The sequence below is a fragment of the Homo sapiens genome, chromosome 1 (assembly GCF_000001405.40).
Source record: "Homo sapiens chromosome 1, GRCh38.p14 Primary Assembly".
Lineage (NCBI taxonomy): Eukaryota > Metazoa > Chordata > Mammalia > Primates > Hominidae > Homo > Homo sapiens.
The window spans coordinates 116502691-116517157 of NC_000001.11; the positions used below are offsets into that span (position 1 = coordinate 116502691).

At 44.5% G+C, this 14467-nt stretch overlaps 1 protein-coding gene across 2 annotated transcripts in view, besides 5 other annotated features; it reads right to left on the bottom strand.

Annotated features, from left to right (window-relative positions):
- Window positions 470-522: a transcriptional cis regulatory region, noted in NCBI's record as "candidate enhancer chr1.8038 targeted for multiplex CRISPR interference". NCBI's record gives its function as "positively regulates CD58 gene expression with high confidence in K562 cells {active_cell/tissue: K562}" and the evidence as "EXISTENCE:mutant phenotype evidence [ECO:0000015][PMID:30612741]".
- Window positions 1251-2232: a transcriptional cis regulatory region, noted in NCBI's record as "candidate enhancer chr1.8039 targeted for multiplex CRISPR interference". NCBI's record gives its function as "positively regulates CD58 gene expression with high confidence in K562 cells {active_cell/tissue: K562}" and the evidence as "EXISTENCE:mutant phenotype evidence [ECO:0000015][PMID:30612741]".
- Window positions 1629-1898: an enhancer, noted in NCBI's record as "active region_1563". NCBI's record gives its function as "activates an Ori minimal core promoter by ATAC-STARR-seq in GM12878 lymphoblastoid cells {active_cell/tissue: GM12878}" and the evidence as "EXISTENCE:reporter gene assay evidence [ECO:0000049][PMID:35858748]".
- Window positions 1737-2031: an enhancer, noted in NCBI's record as "tiled region #12485; HepG2 Activating DNase unmatched - State 14:Gen5', and K562 Activating DNase matched - State 5:Enh". NCBI's record gives its function as "activates a minimal TATA promoter and a strong SV40 promoter by Sharpr-MPRA in HepG2 and K562 cells {active_cell/tissue: HepG2 | K562}" and the evidence as "EXISTENCE:reporter gene assay evidence [ECO:0000049][PMID:27701403]".
- Window positions 6759-6818: an enhancer, noted in NCBI's record as "active region_1564". NCBI's record gives its function as "activates an Ori minimal core promoter by ATAC-STARR-seq in GM12878 lymphoblastoid cells {active_cell/tissue: GM12878}" and the evidence as "EXISTENCE:reporter gene assay evidence [ECO:0000049][PMID:35858748]".
- Window positions 11844-14467, bottom strand: part of CD58 (CD58 molecule) — a 56493-nt gene continuing 53869 nt past the window's right edge. For both annotated transcript variants that reach the window (NR_026665.2, NM_001779.3), the window contains exon 6: window positions 11844-12132. Coding sequence is in view for 1 of the 2 variants with exons in the window: in NM_001779.3 (NP_001770.1) it covers window positions 12123-12132 (10 nt within the window). In the remaining variant the exon portion in view is untranslated. The remainder of the gene's footprint in view (window positions 12133-14467) is intronic.

Below are 14467 nucleotides of genomic sequence, written 5' to 3' on the forward strand. Positions count from 1 at the left end.
AGCACGGGTTTCCCAGGGCAAGAGTGGGGCAGGGGGCAGGGGACAACCCTCAGGAGCAGGCTTCTACTGGGCGGCTTTGGAACTCATTCTGGGCTTCAGTTTCCTTGCTCTTAGAGCAGGAGCTGGATCAAACGATCTCTAAGGTCTCTTGTACTTTTGTGCTTCTCCAGCATAAGCCTGGGTGGGAGGTAGACTGAGATAAGAAGGACAGTGGTAACCAGGGGTCATCTAAGAGATGGCTTAATGGGGGATAACAGGGTAATTGAATAATAGGAGATTGTGTTTGAAACTTATCTCATCTGCATGAATTTCCACCTTGAGATTTTCTTGCATTGTCAGCCAGAAAAAAATAAATTGTAGTTTTGATAGATTGTGGGTGTTATAATCGATTGTGGGTGTCTATAAAAGATATAGATTTTTGGTGTCAGGCCTAGGTTCACTGAGGTAGATAGCTTCCCCTCTCTGAGCACCAGGCGTGCAAGTGTAGAGTAAGGATAAGAGTACATGGCTCACAGGGCAGCTGTGGAAGGGTCAGATGAGTCTCTGTACAGAGAACACATAGCACAATGCCTGGCCAAATTCCTGCAAATGTCATCTGTCCTCCTTCCCTCAAACCTCTTCTCCTCCTACTGCGGAGGGGAGCACCCGAACTGGAGAATAGAGTTAAACTAGTTCAAATTCTTCAAGAGTATAGTAAGTGCTCAAATGTGATTTGTCCAGTTCTTTCATATATAATATTCACAACAATCACATGGACCAGGTATTGCTATTCTGTTATACCGATGAGGAAACTGAAGGTCAGGGTTGTCTTCAGGTCATAAATAGAACTGAGATTTGAAACTCAGTCCAGTCTACTGAATCCAACCCCAAATACTCTTGTCACAGACTGAAAGCTACACATCAGGGGCAGATGCGGTGGCGGAGAATCCACTGGGAGAGGCTTCTGCTTGGGAGTTGCTCCAGAAAGCCCTACTGGTTTATGCAATCAGACATGATCCACCCCCATGTTCTTAGGCAGCCCTGGTGCCAGGGCCTTCTCACCCTTCATTCTAGCTGAAATGGAACCAGCATCACTGTCTCCCTATGCAAGGGGATCTCTCAACTTCCTCCTGTGGTTTGTCAAGTCTTTTATATCATGACCACTCCAATTCATCAAAGCGTTCATGCTTATTTTGTGCCTCAGTGTTTCACAATGATTTCACTCACTCCTGTTAGGTGAGTGGAGACAGCATTATTTTCCTCATGTTGAGGTTGGGAGCAGGCTCAGAGCAGGCTCAGGGAGCTTCCATCACTTGATGGAGGCCCCACAGCAGGGCCCGTGTGGGCAGCCCAGGACTCTGCACTCATGGCGCCTGCCACTGCAGAAGACGCCCTTCACCAGCCACTGGGTCTCAACAGTGTGGCTCCGGCAGGCCTCTCAGTGGGTTTGTGTCACCCAAAGGCTGATGAAGAACAGGGGGGTGGGGTGGCAGTGAGAAAGCACTTGGGAATTCAGTGATAACAAGGTCACCCATTCTCTCTCTGTCAGCAACTGATAGTGACAGTTGTAATAGTGACAGGCAGACCTGGATGGAAATCCTGGTTCCACCACTGACTAGCAATGTAACCTTAACCATGTTACTACTACACTTCCATGAGCTTCTGTTTTTCCATCTGTATAGTGGGACTAATACTACTTACCTACTCCTACTGAAGGGTGAGACGCAGCAGGCAATGCGCTTAGCACAGGGCCTGGAACATAGTAAATGCTCAGTGGTAATAGTGCATAGTCTTCCTTAAACTTGCAGTGACATTTATTTCACCATGATTAGCAGCTGAGGCTGTGGGGTGACATCAGGGTGATGAGTCACTTTGTCTGGCTGGGTCTTACATCCGGGGCGATGTTCTGTTGCATCCACCACCCTCCCCTGCCCCAGCTCAGGGCCCTAACAGTCTAGCAGGGCTGGGACTTTCTGAAAGGCTCCCCTGACCACACCAGTTCCTCAGGAAGCCTCTCAACCCCAGCTTCAGCTCTACTGACATCGCCTTACTTCCCTTTAACCCCTTTTGAGGCCCAGTTTAGAATCTGTATCTCAGCCAGAGCTCTTTCCATGCCAGCTTTGTCCACGCTGTTTACTCCTGGATAGTTCTCAGGCCCAGCCATATACCAACCCAGTGCCTGCAGTCAGGCAGACCTGGATGGAAATCCTGGTTCTACCACTGACTAGCAATGTAACCTTAACCATGTTACTACTACACTTCTATGAGCTTCTGTTTTTCCATCTATATAGTGGGACTAATACTACTTACCTACTCCCACTGAAGGGTGAGACGCAGCAGGCAATGCACTTAGCACAGGGCCTGGAACATAGTAAATGCTCAGTGGTAATTCCAGCACTTTGGGAGGCTGAGGCGGTCAGATCACTTGAGTCCAGGAGTTCAAGACCAGCCTGAGCAACATAGTGAGACTCTGTCATAAAAGAAAAAAAGAAATTGCTCAATGAAAGTGTGTGTGTGTGTGTGTGTTCCTCCTGAGCATTTTACTTTTCTTTGCTATATTTTTCCACCATATACCAATTACAGACCACATGGCTCACATCATTTCTATCTTCTCAAGCATCCTGGTTTCTTTTCATCCTTTCTTTTGTTTTTGGCTTTCTAGCTTCTTTTTTCTGGACTTTTTTTTTTTTTTTTTTTTGAGACAGAGTCTCGCTTTGTCACCCAGGCAGGAGTGCAGTGGTGTGATCTCAGCTCACTGCAACCTCAGCCTCCAGGGTTCAAGCAATTCTCCTGCCTCAGCCTCCCGAGTAGCTGGGACTACAGGAGCCTGCCACCACGCCTGGCTAATTTTTTGTATTTTTAGTAGAGGCAGGGTTTCACACTGTTAGCCAGGATGGTCTCCATCTCCTGACTTCATGATCTGCCCACCTTGGCCTCCCAAAGTGCTGGGATTACAGGTGTGAGCCACCGCACCTGGCTTCTGGACAATTTTTAATTGTACTTTGAAACTTTCATTTACTCTGTTAAGTGATTTATGACAGCAAAATGTCAATATTTGTAACATTTTTCTGTCTTACCCAACAGGACAGGGAATGGAAGCTGACAGGCTAGCTGCAAAAATTAATTAAAGCAATGAATTATTTTTTTAAACACAAAAATGGGGAAAAGGTGCAAATAGGCAATTCATAGAACAAGTTCATATGATCAAAAACGTATGAAAAGATTTTAGATTAGTAATCAGAGTAATGTTTAAATTTAAGTAGCAATGAGATATTTCTTTACTTCTATCAGAATGATCAAGATTTAGAAAGACGAATATCTATTGCTAATGGGAATGTAGGGAAAAAGTTACTTTAATAATTGTTCTTGGATGTTGTCTTAGTTCATTTTCTGTTGCTATAACTAAATACCTGAGACTGGGTAATTTATAAAGAAAAAAAATAATTTCTCATATATTGGAGGCTGGGAAGTCCAAGGTCAAGTGGCCAGTTGGTGAGAGCTTTCCTGCTGGTGGGAACTCTGTAGAGTCCTGAGGTGGCACAGAGCATCACACAGTGAGGGGGCCCAAGAGAGAGCCAAACAGGCTTTTATAACAGAGCCACTCCTGCAATGACTAACCCACTCCTGTGATAACACATTAGCCCAGTAATCCATTCATAAGAGCAAAGCTGTCATGACCCAATCACCTCTTAAAGGCTCCACCTCTTAATACTGTTACAGTGGGGATTAAGTTTCAACATGAGTTTCATAGGAGACACACATTTAAACCATAGCAGGTATTATAGCCTTTTTGGAAAGCAATCTGGCAATATCTATTATATAGTTTGGATATGTGTCCTCTCTAAATCTCATGTTGAAATGTAATCCTCAGCATTAGAGGTGGGGCCTCGTGGGAGGTGACTGGATCATGGGGGTGGATTTCTTATAAATGGTTTAGCACCATCCCCTCAGTGCTGTCTTCACGATAGTGAGAGAGTTCTCCCAAAATCTGGTTGTTTAAAAGTGTGTGGCACCCTCCCCCGACATGCTCCTGCTCTTGCTGGGTGACATGTCTGCTACTGCTTCACCTTCTGCCATGAGTAAAACTCCCTGAGGCCTCGTCAAAAGTAAAAGCTCCCTGAGGACAAGCAGATGCCCGCACCTTGCTTGTACAGCCTGCAGAACCATGAGCCAATTAAACCTGTTTTCTTTATAAATTACCCAGCCTCAGGTATTTCTTTATAACAAAGCAAGAATAGCCTAACACGATCTATTAAAATTGAAGTTTCCGGAAGTGGTGGCCATGTGCCTTTAGTCCCAGCTACTGGGGAGACTGAGGCAAGGGGATCATTGAGCACAGGAGTTCAAGGCTCCAGTGAGGTATGATTGCGTTTATGAATAGCCATTACACTCCAGCCTATGGGCAACATAGTGAGACCCTGTCTCTGAAAAAAAGAAAATTAAATTAAAAATACATACACTTTTTGACTTAGCATTTCTATTCATGGGAATCTACCCCATAGGAATACCTAAATGTGTGGCTATATAAACGAGGATGTATAATAAATTACCGTTTATGGTAGAAAACAAACAAAACCTAGAAGCAAAGCAAACGTTCTTCAAAAGAAGAATGGTTGAATATATTTAGACTTGCCAAGAAATATGCTGCAGCCATTAAAAAATAAATTGGAGGCTGGATGCAGTGGAACATGCCTGTAATTCCAGCACTTTGGAGAGGCTGAGGCAGATGGATCATTTGAGCTCAGGAGTTTAAAACCAGTCTGGGGAACATGGCAAGACCCCGTCTCTACTAAAAATACAAAAAAAAAAAAAAATAGCCGGGCATGGTTGTATGTAATTACTAATTACATAGTAATTATATATTATATATTTAAAAAATGATTATATATTAATATATATTTTCTACTTACATCTACTCATACACATACTTTTACACTTATGTGTTATGTATTAATGTAAAAGTATATTATTGTGAGCAGATGTAAGAAAAATTTTAAATTATGTATATATATCTTAAATATTTTTGTTAACCTAAAACATAGAAATACACATTGCTTCACTAAGGTTTTGACATAGTCAAAGTCTTTTCATTGAAACTAAGTATATTTTTCAGAGTTCTTCCTTATTCTTTCATACAAAAATCACGCCCTTAATGCATTGTCTACAATTTCTAATTTCAGTTTCTGTGGAGTGGAGCGAGAGCTTAGATACTTGCAAAGCAATTTTAGTACAGAAACCTTATAGATGTGGTACTTTTCCCACTATCTTTTCAGCTGTCTTGCTTGTACTCAATCCACTAATCTCATTTTAGCATCTCTCCTTTATTAAGTCTTTGTAAAACTGTCAACTTGTTTCTTATAAAAACAATAACTTTCTTTTGCATTCACACTTCACCAGCTTACGTGACAATGTTAAAGTATACCTAATAGAATAGATTCTTGGGAACAAACACATCTCATTGTAGGCAACATTCATGTCAGCAGGTAGCCACCATTGTCTGTGGCATCCTGGAAGGCATGGGCATCCTTCTGGCCTGAGCATTCAGTGAGCCCCGGGTCATGTAACCTGCTGAGTCAGTTCCTAGTAGCAGCACTGAAAATCCTCATGTGCCATGAGTTGATGAGTGGGTAACTAGCCTGTCAGGATATACCCAGCTCTCTGATTTTACTGTTATTCTATGATGAAAATATCTAGGGTTGCGTGTGGGCATGGGCTGGGAGGCATGGAGGATTACATCCTCCTTTTTCAAATACGTTGTGTAGCATTTTGCTAATGTGGCAAAGTTTGTGATGAGTGGCATGGCTTGGGTAGGGTAGACAGCATACTACAATCCTGTCTTGGGAGCAGCAAGGCAGTGCTGGGACAGGACTATGACCCAGATTCATATCTCCTAGTCACTGCTAGGTGACTGTGGGCATGTCGTCTCAACTCAGTACATCTGTTCTCTTGTCTTCAAAATGGGGTGATGCTATCTGATTCACCAAGATGTTTTGAGACTCAAATAAGATAAACATTTTTTAAAGTATTTGCCACAATGACAGGGCCATCAGAGTTGCTTTCATACCTACACACCCTGTGTACACTTGTAGCAATGAGATGGAGTGAGGGACTCCATTTCTATGACAAGCAGCAAGGTTCCTGGGGAAGAGCCTACTCTTTGGAGGTAGGCAGAGGAGATCTGGATACTGCTTTCACCAGCAGCCCATTGCACATCCTTGGGCAACTCACTTAATCTCACTGAATTTTAGTTGTGTCACCCAGGAATAATAGTAGGAAAATTCCATCTAGCTTGAGCTATTGTGGTGAGGATTAAATAGAGGTTATGGGATCAAAGGTGTCTGGAACACAGGAGAGGTGGAATAGATTTTATCCTTGTAGGTATGACTCAGTCCACAAACTAAGATCTGAAAAAAAATAATGCCCTCTAGTTTCTATGACTCAACTTATTTCTGATTCTAAGTTCCCATTTCTCTTGGTTGGTGAAGAATTTAAACCCCACCCTTTTCTGGGGAGCCCGCTGCCCTTGCACTGTGGACTATGACTTCACATTATGAAGTAGGGTGGGGATTTGCCCTTGATCTTCAATCTACACAGCTTAAGGCCAGATGTGCTTTGCCCTGTCTTCCTGTCCTGTGTCTCTCTTGCTCCCAGGACATGTTCAAAGCACACAATTATCCCCACAGCTTGAGTTCAGAGGCAGGAAACAAATGAGTGCAAGAAAATAGGGAGGAGTAGAGCTTGTGAACTGCAGAGAGATGCCCATCTAAAGGCATATCATTTTTTTTTTAAGTTTAATACTGTGAGAGCCAAAAAAAACATGCCTGTGGGCTGACTGGGCACATGAGCCTCTTCACTGGTCTGCGAATGTGCAGGGCCTGCTCTCACTTCAGGGCCTCTACTGGGAATCCCCATCCTGGGATCCCATCTGTGACCCCTTGACAGCTCTGCTGGAGGGTCCCTCAGTGAGGTCTTTCCTTGTCCCTTCCTACACTCCCCACCCCCTTCCCTGTTTTATTCTTCTCTATGGCTCTTAGTGCTGTGGTTTCCTTATTTACCCTGGTTAATGTCTATCTCTATCCACTAGAATGCAAGCCCCAAGTAGGCAGTCAAGAACTATGTGTTGAATGAATGGGTGGATGGATGGATGACTTCATCGTGAAATGAGACACTCACCTTAGGCAGAAATTGCAAGGGCAACATCAAAAACCTCAGTAATCAAGATCAATAATATTTTAATGCAATTTTTTTTAGTCACAGTGCAAAAAATCTGTGATAAACAAACTATCAAATTTTTAAATAAAGGCACATCCAAAAGAAGTTGCAAGTGAGCTAAAGTTAATTTAAAAATATTTAAAATCATCACTTGTTCAAGAAAAAATTCTCAAACATGACAATGTTCTCAACTGAAAACAAAACAAGAAGTAGACTTTGAAGGTTTTACTAATGAGTGTTCTTCCATCAAAGCCAGGAAAGTAACATTCTAATAAATTCTTGGGCTTTGTTTGTTTGTTTGTTTGGTATAAGTAAAATAATTTAAACTTAATATAAAGTTTTAATGTACCTACTTTTCAACTTTCCAACTTTTTTTATGCTACCTCAATGTTCTGGAAAAAATTAACCGATTAAAATACATCAAGGCCAGGTGTATGTTTCACACCTGTAATCCGAGGCACTTTGGGAGGCCGAGGCGGGAGTATCTCTTGAGCCCAGGATTCAAGGCTAGCCTGGGCAACATAACAAGAACCTGTTTTTATATTTTTTTAAAGTAAAAAAAAAAAATTTAAAAAGGGAAATGCATCAAGACCTGTACCACAGAGGCCCACGTTTTTCTTTTGCTCCAGGCTACATGTGGGTTGCCGGGGCAATGGTTCTCAGCAGATGCATGCTGATGAAGCGGTATCATGAGCCATCCCTCCCAAGCCAACCGCTGTAATGTTCACAGCCTGAATTGCTTTCATCTACAGCAGTGAGAGGTGTGGGATTTCAGGAGCCTGTTGAGGGAGACTGCCTCTTTGGGGGTGCTTCTCAGTCATCCCCAAATCAAGCCATGTGGGCCTACTCCAATGAGGACTAGTTTTTCCTTTGCATGGAAGGATCTTGAAAAAGAAAAAGAATTGTTGAGATCAAGAAGAGGAAAGGCTTGGGGAGACAGGAAGGACTGTACCTCATTTTCTAGGTATCAGATGTCAACACAGGTGGCTTGGGCAATCCACACATTTGTTCACATTGAATTTACTTCTGCCATTATCCACCACTCCCGCTCTGACCCAGAGGTGCCTCCCAAAACGCCCAGCACCACAAGCCCTCACCAGGTGCTGGGCTGCAGCTAGGCTCCAGCTGCATAGCCCAGAAGCCAGTGCCATCTTCCCCAGGCTGGTGCCACTCTACACTAGGAGTGGTTGTTGGGAGGCACCCTGGTGTTGTGGAAAAGCACTGGAGTGGAGACCAGGGTATTGGGGCTCCTGCCACGAACTAGCTATAAGACCTTGGTCCAATTACCTTCCCTATCACAGTCCAAGTTTTCTTGTCTGTCTGACGAGGCCTCTGAGGACCCATCTAGCTTTAAGAGTCTAGAGGCAGAGTTCAGCTTAGTATTTGATGTATTTGCTACATGCTCAACGTAAGTGGTTAAAAGCGAATGACCTCTTTAGAGAATACCTAAATTAAAGATAGACTCTTTCTTGGAGGAAACACAAAACAAAACTTGGAGAAGACTTTCGGAGGGCTCCCTACTATATGTGGAAGATTGACTGCACACATTTATCTTCTTACATTATAGCTTGATGGTTAAGAGGCTTCTGGGGCTACACTGCCTGGGGTTGAATCCTGGCTCTGCCACTTATAACTGACCTGAGGCAAGTCTCTGTCCATCTCTTCATTTGCAAAACAAAGAACTGAGAATAGCGTGATAAGGTGGCTGTCTGCAAGCGAAGAAGAGAGCCCTCACCAGGAACTGAATTGGCCAGCACCTTGTTCTTGGACTTTCCAGCCTCTAGAACTATGAGAAGTAAACATCTGTTTAAGACAGCCAGCACCATCCAAACAGACTAATACAAATGAAGAGACTGGTTTTAGGAGGAGCAAGGAGAGTGTATCCTGGATTAACAGGAGGAGAGGCAAAGTGCAGTGGTGCTGAGAGAGCTGGGTGTGTAGGTGTGATGGAAGTGTGAGGGAGGTATCTTCTGAATGCTATTTTTTTCAGAAAGTTGAGAAGCAAAGTGATCAGTTGAGAGTGAGGACACAGGATTGAAGATCTAGGAAGAGAAGTGAGGAGACAGTGACAAAGCAATGTAATGAGGACATTTGAGAAACACTACAAATCTGCCAAATGTTTGAAGTAATTAAAGAGAAACTAATCAGCTTGGTGTTAGATTTTTCTCCAGGCATGTTCAGCAGTTTGGATGCAGAGAGGAAACTGGTAGAGGTAACTATAACCATGGTTGGGACTTGGCAAAATGAGAATGGCAAAGCGAGAGAGGAAAAGAGTGATAGTAAAGGAGTAATTGTAGGCCAGGCACAGTGGCTCATGCCTGTAATCCCAGCACTTTGGGAGGCCAAGGTGGGCAAATCACCTGAGGTCAGGAGTTCAAGACTAACCTGGCCAAAATGGTGAAACCCCATCTCTACTAAAAATACAAAAAAAAATTAGCCAGGCATAGGCCGGGCACGGTGGCTCACGCTTGTAATCCCAGCACTTTGGGAGGCTGAAGCAGGCAAATCACGAGGTCAGGAGATCAAGACCATCCTAGCTAACATGGTGAAACCCCGTCTCTACTGAAAAATACAAAAAATTAGCTGGGCGTGGTGGCAGCTGCCTGTAGTCCCAGCTACTTGGGAGGCTGAGGCAGGAGAATGGTGTGAACCCGGGAGGTGGAGCTTGCAGTGAGCCGAGATCACACCACTGCACTCCAGCCTGGGTGACAGAGCAAGACTCCGACTAAAAAAAAAAAAAAAAAAAATTAGCCAGGCGTGGTGGCGCACACCTGCAATCCCAGCTACTTGGAAGGCTGAACCCGGGAGGTGGAGGTTGCAGTGAGGCGAGATCGTGCCACTGCACTCCAGCCTGGGCAACAAGAGTGAAACTCCATCTCAAAAAAAAAAAAAAAAAAAAGAAAAGAAAAGAAAAGAAAAAGGAGTAATTGTAATGATGAACAATGGGAATCTAAGCCAGGTAAGAGGAAGAGTGAGAACTTGAAGGGGTTCAGGGCCAGGGAACAGGTAGCAAGGTCACTGGCTTGTAGGTTCTAGTGGGGTTGAAGAATGTTTGGCGCTGGAGCCCCCAAGGGGGTGATGCGGAAGATGCGAAGTAGGGACTAGCGAAGTGAGATGCTTGTTACAGAGACTATTCGGGGATGCTGCAGTTATAGGTCAGCAGTATGGCTATGGGGTGGCTAGCTGAAAAAGGGAGAAGAAAAGACCATGCGAGGGTATTAGATTTGTAGATTTTGAAAGCATTCAAAATCTGGAAGAAGTGATGTCAGGGAGAAGACTTTGACATAGTGCTAAAACCTCCAAGGGATAGGGAATAACAAAGATAACCAGAACAAGGGATGTCAGGTGGTGATGATTAGCTGGCATGAGCATCAAAGCCGAGGAAGGAGCACTGGTCTGCAGGCAGAGAAGAGCAAGGAGGACGTCTTCTTTCCCCTAGGCCCTGAATACAAGGGATGCAGGAAAGAACACAGCTACCCCTTGAGAGGCTGTGGGAGGCAGCATCCCCAGGGAGAGCTGGGTTTCGATTAGAACAGCGAAGCAAAGGAGGCATTCACAGAAGAGGACATCAGGGATGTCGCTGCTGATGGATGGGGGCAGAAAGTGGGGCATTACAGAGCTGCATGGGACAGAAGTCTCCAGGGGAGTCATGGGCTTCCTACAGGGTCTGGGATAAAGGGTTTGACAAGATTAGTCTGAGACAGGATAGGAATCCATGCCACATGGAGATGGGGGGAGCTGGGGAGATGTGGGTCTTCCCAGAAGCACTCTGGGCTCCTTTCCCACTCTTGCTGAGGCCTGTGGGAGCTCAGATGCAGGCTGTTCTAGAGAGAACACATGTAGCCTGAGGGGTTTTTTTTGAGATGGAGTCTCGCTCTGTCCCCCAGGCTGGAGTGCAGTGGCCTGATCTTGGCTCACTGCAAGCGCCGCCTCCTGGGTTCACGCCATTCTCCTGCCTCAGCCTCCCGAGTACCTGGGACTACAGGAGCCCGCCACCACACCTGGCTAACTTTTTTTATTTTTAGTAGAGATGGGGTTTCATTGTGTTAGCCAGGATGGTCTCGATCTCCTGACCTTGTGATCCACCCACCTTGACAGGCCCATCTTGGAGTCAAGAAATATTGATTTCTTCCTTCAGCCTGGAGACTCTCATGTGACAGGAATTCCAGGGACAGTGCAGGCACAAGCTAAAGCGTCTATGTATTGACTTGGGTTTACATGGCTGCCAGAGGCAACTGGCACCGTCCACCACTTCAGGAGTGGCTGCCACTCTGTATTTGTTATGACTACGGTTTTCCAGCTACTGTCTGCTGTTGACCTCCCAATGTGACAGCTAACCAATGCAACAAACTAAGTAGGCTAATTAATGGCAGCGAGAGAAGTCTCCCTGCCCCACCTGTGTTATACAACTGCACTGGATGGTGGTGATCTGCTCTTTTCAAAAGCAGCTAGAAGTAAAGACCCATGTGTTCACTTGCCTCGTACTGACAGCAGTGGAACCCAGTGAGGGACAGTACTTTTCTCCCTCACTCCATGAATGACCCTACAATGAATTATTTTTCCCCTAAAGCAAGGGAGAAAGAGTATAGATTTTAAAAGGGTATGTGACCCTTATTTTTCTATCTTAGGAAAACAGTAGCCAAACCACCTAGTCACTTGTGTACATATTTACATTTATTTACAAAAGTATCTACATCATCAGTAAAAACAATTTACTGACAAAAAAAGCAAGCACCTAGTCATATAATAAGTTGATGACAGCCAAAACTAATGCTTGTTCTTTGTTAGTGGGTATTTCTTCTTAAAGCAGCTGCTTCAAGTTACATTTCCAACAGTTGTTCAAAAATTGTAATACTCAAATGAGAAATCAGATGGCTTTTTAGTTTTTAAAATAATTTAGTTATGCTGTTGTCTTCATCTTCTGTTACCAATCAATTGGAGCTACAAAAAAAAATCATATTATTAACTTGTAAAATGCAGTAAATCTGGGCTGCAGACCAGGAGTCTTAATTACCCTCCTATTCTAAAGTGAATAGCCCTTTTGTAATAAACTCATCAAAGCCAAGGGAGCTAGGGAGCAGGGATGGAGGAAGAACTGCCTTGAGTGCTCTTGGGATAGTAGTCTGAGTAACACTTGAAGAACAGCCTTCAGGATGCTGCACTCAATAGCAGCCCCAAGGCTCCTCCCGCTTACTCTCTGAGTATAACTGAAAGATTGAACAACAGAGCTGAGACTGTTAGACCCACATGTAAACTGTCACCCATTTGTAACAGCTACTTCCTTCTTTGCTACATGAAACTCCTGGGGATGGTTTTCTTCCTACCTCAAACTTACCTTCCTGTTTAGTCACCTCTGTGGCAACGACAGAACAATCTCTGGCTGTCTTGGAGTAAATCAGCCGAAAAACAAAACCGCATCCTTGAGCAAGCCCTCAAACCGAGTCCATTTCCCGGCCTCCTCCCCCGTGGTCTGCGTATTTCCACAGAGCTCAAAATCAGACCAGGCCAGAGCTCCCCAAACATTTGTATCTCATTGGTAACAAGAATTCATGAGAAATTAGTGCTGTGGTCACAGGGGTGAGGTAAAGGACAGCAAACTAGAAGTTTCCCTCCTTGGGAGCCTCACAGAACATGAAATGGGTGCTGTGACTTTCTGAGGGGGATAAAGTGGGAAATGTTTGTAAACCAGGTTGGCAGGCACAGGATTCTTGTTGGGGCAGCTTTTTGCCGGTCTCTGCTTCCCTGCCCTCTCCCAGCAGTCTCCTCACCCACTACAAGGAATCAAGCCTGCTTCTCCAGCTTGGCTCCTGCCTGAGATCCCACCTGTAAATCTTTCTTCTCGGAGAAATAGGACTCCCTGCTTCCTTTTTAATTTGGCTAACTTTGTGATCTGTTTTCTAGACACTTACACAAAAAATACCAGGGCACTCAGAAATTGCCTACGTTGAACTGCCTGGGTGAGAAGTGTGGCGTGGCCATTTCCCGTCAGATGTCTGCTATCTACTCATCTGTCCTCTGTTGTTCCTAATTGGGTTTAGTTCTTCCTGCTCCTGCCCTCGCGCAGCTGGGGAAATATTGCATTTGTTCCTACTTATGCTTGCCCCTTTCTCATCTCCTCCCCCGATCTCCTCCATCTCCACCATATACAGAACCTTTTAACATTTTAATTTAACTTAATTTTTTTGATGCCCAGGCTGGTCTCTTAACTCCTGGGCTCAAGAAATCCTCCCACTAACTCCTAAACTCAAGCGATCCTCGCACCTCAGCCTCCCAAGTAGCTGAGACTACAGGTGTGTGCTACCATACCCAGCTTCATAACCCTTTAGTAACTGAGCTTAGAGAATTCCCCCTGCTGCCACAATGGGTTCTTTAAATTTAAAAATAATTATTAAATAGGCAGTAAACACACATGATGCAGAACTTGAATAGTAAATAAAAATATACCAAGAAAAGTAAGCTCCTCTCTCAATCTCAGCCCCAAATACTCAGGTCTCTCCCTAGAATGCCACCTTAGAGAGGTCAGTGTTACCTTTCTAGACTCATCATTCCAAAGCAGTGCTTTTCATGCAAAATGTTCCTGCTCAAGAACCTATAATGGCTGCTTATTTCCATATCACTCCATTCTAAGGACCTCCTTGCAAATATTCAGTGTCTTTTGCCTCTACTTCAACTCGATGCCAGGCAGGTCAATCTTACTATCAAATAAATCACAACAGATTTAATTCCCTCTCATGTATTTGCCTCCGCTGTTTATCCCACCTGGAATGCCTTTTCTACTCCACTCTTGTTCTGAAAATGTAGGTCACATCCTACCCCCTCCAAAGCTTTTCTGATTATTCTGGCCTCTCCAATTCCTCTGCGTTGGTTGCTCAGCCCTTACCCTCATATCACACATTCTGCCTATCACCTGTGCTTCCTGCCTAAGTCCTTCTAAGAGTTTCGTATGCTCATGTGCATCCATTCTCTCTCCCTGGTGTGGCCACAAGCTTCTTGTGGGAGGAGCCCTATTATATGCTTTCTCTGAATCCCACACAATGTCTAGCCTCGCTGGGTACTCTGACCCCCACCCTATCAGCTAGCACAGTGCCTGGTATCGCATAATCTCCATAACGTTTGTTGTGATGAAAGGAACAGAGGAAGGGATGAGTTCCAGAATGCCCATCCCCTTTCCCCGTGGCCCTGGATGATGCCCCCCTACCCCCATCATTGGTAGTGATGGCTATGCCTCCCCCATCCACTCAGAGTTCCCCTCCACTGTAACCACCTAGATCTCAGC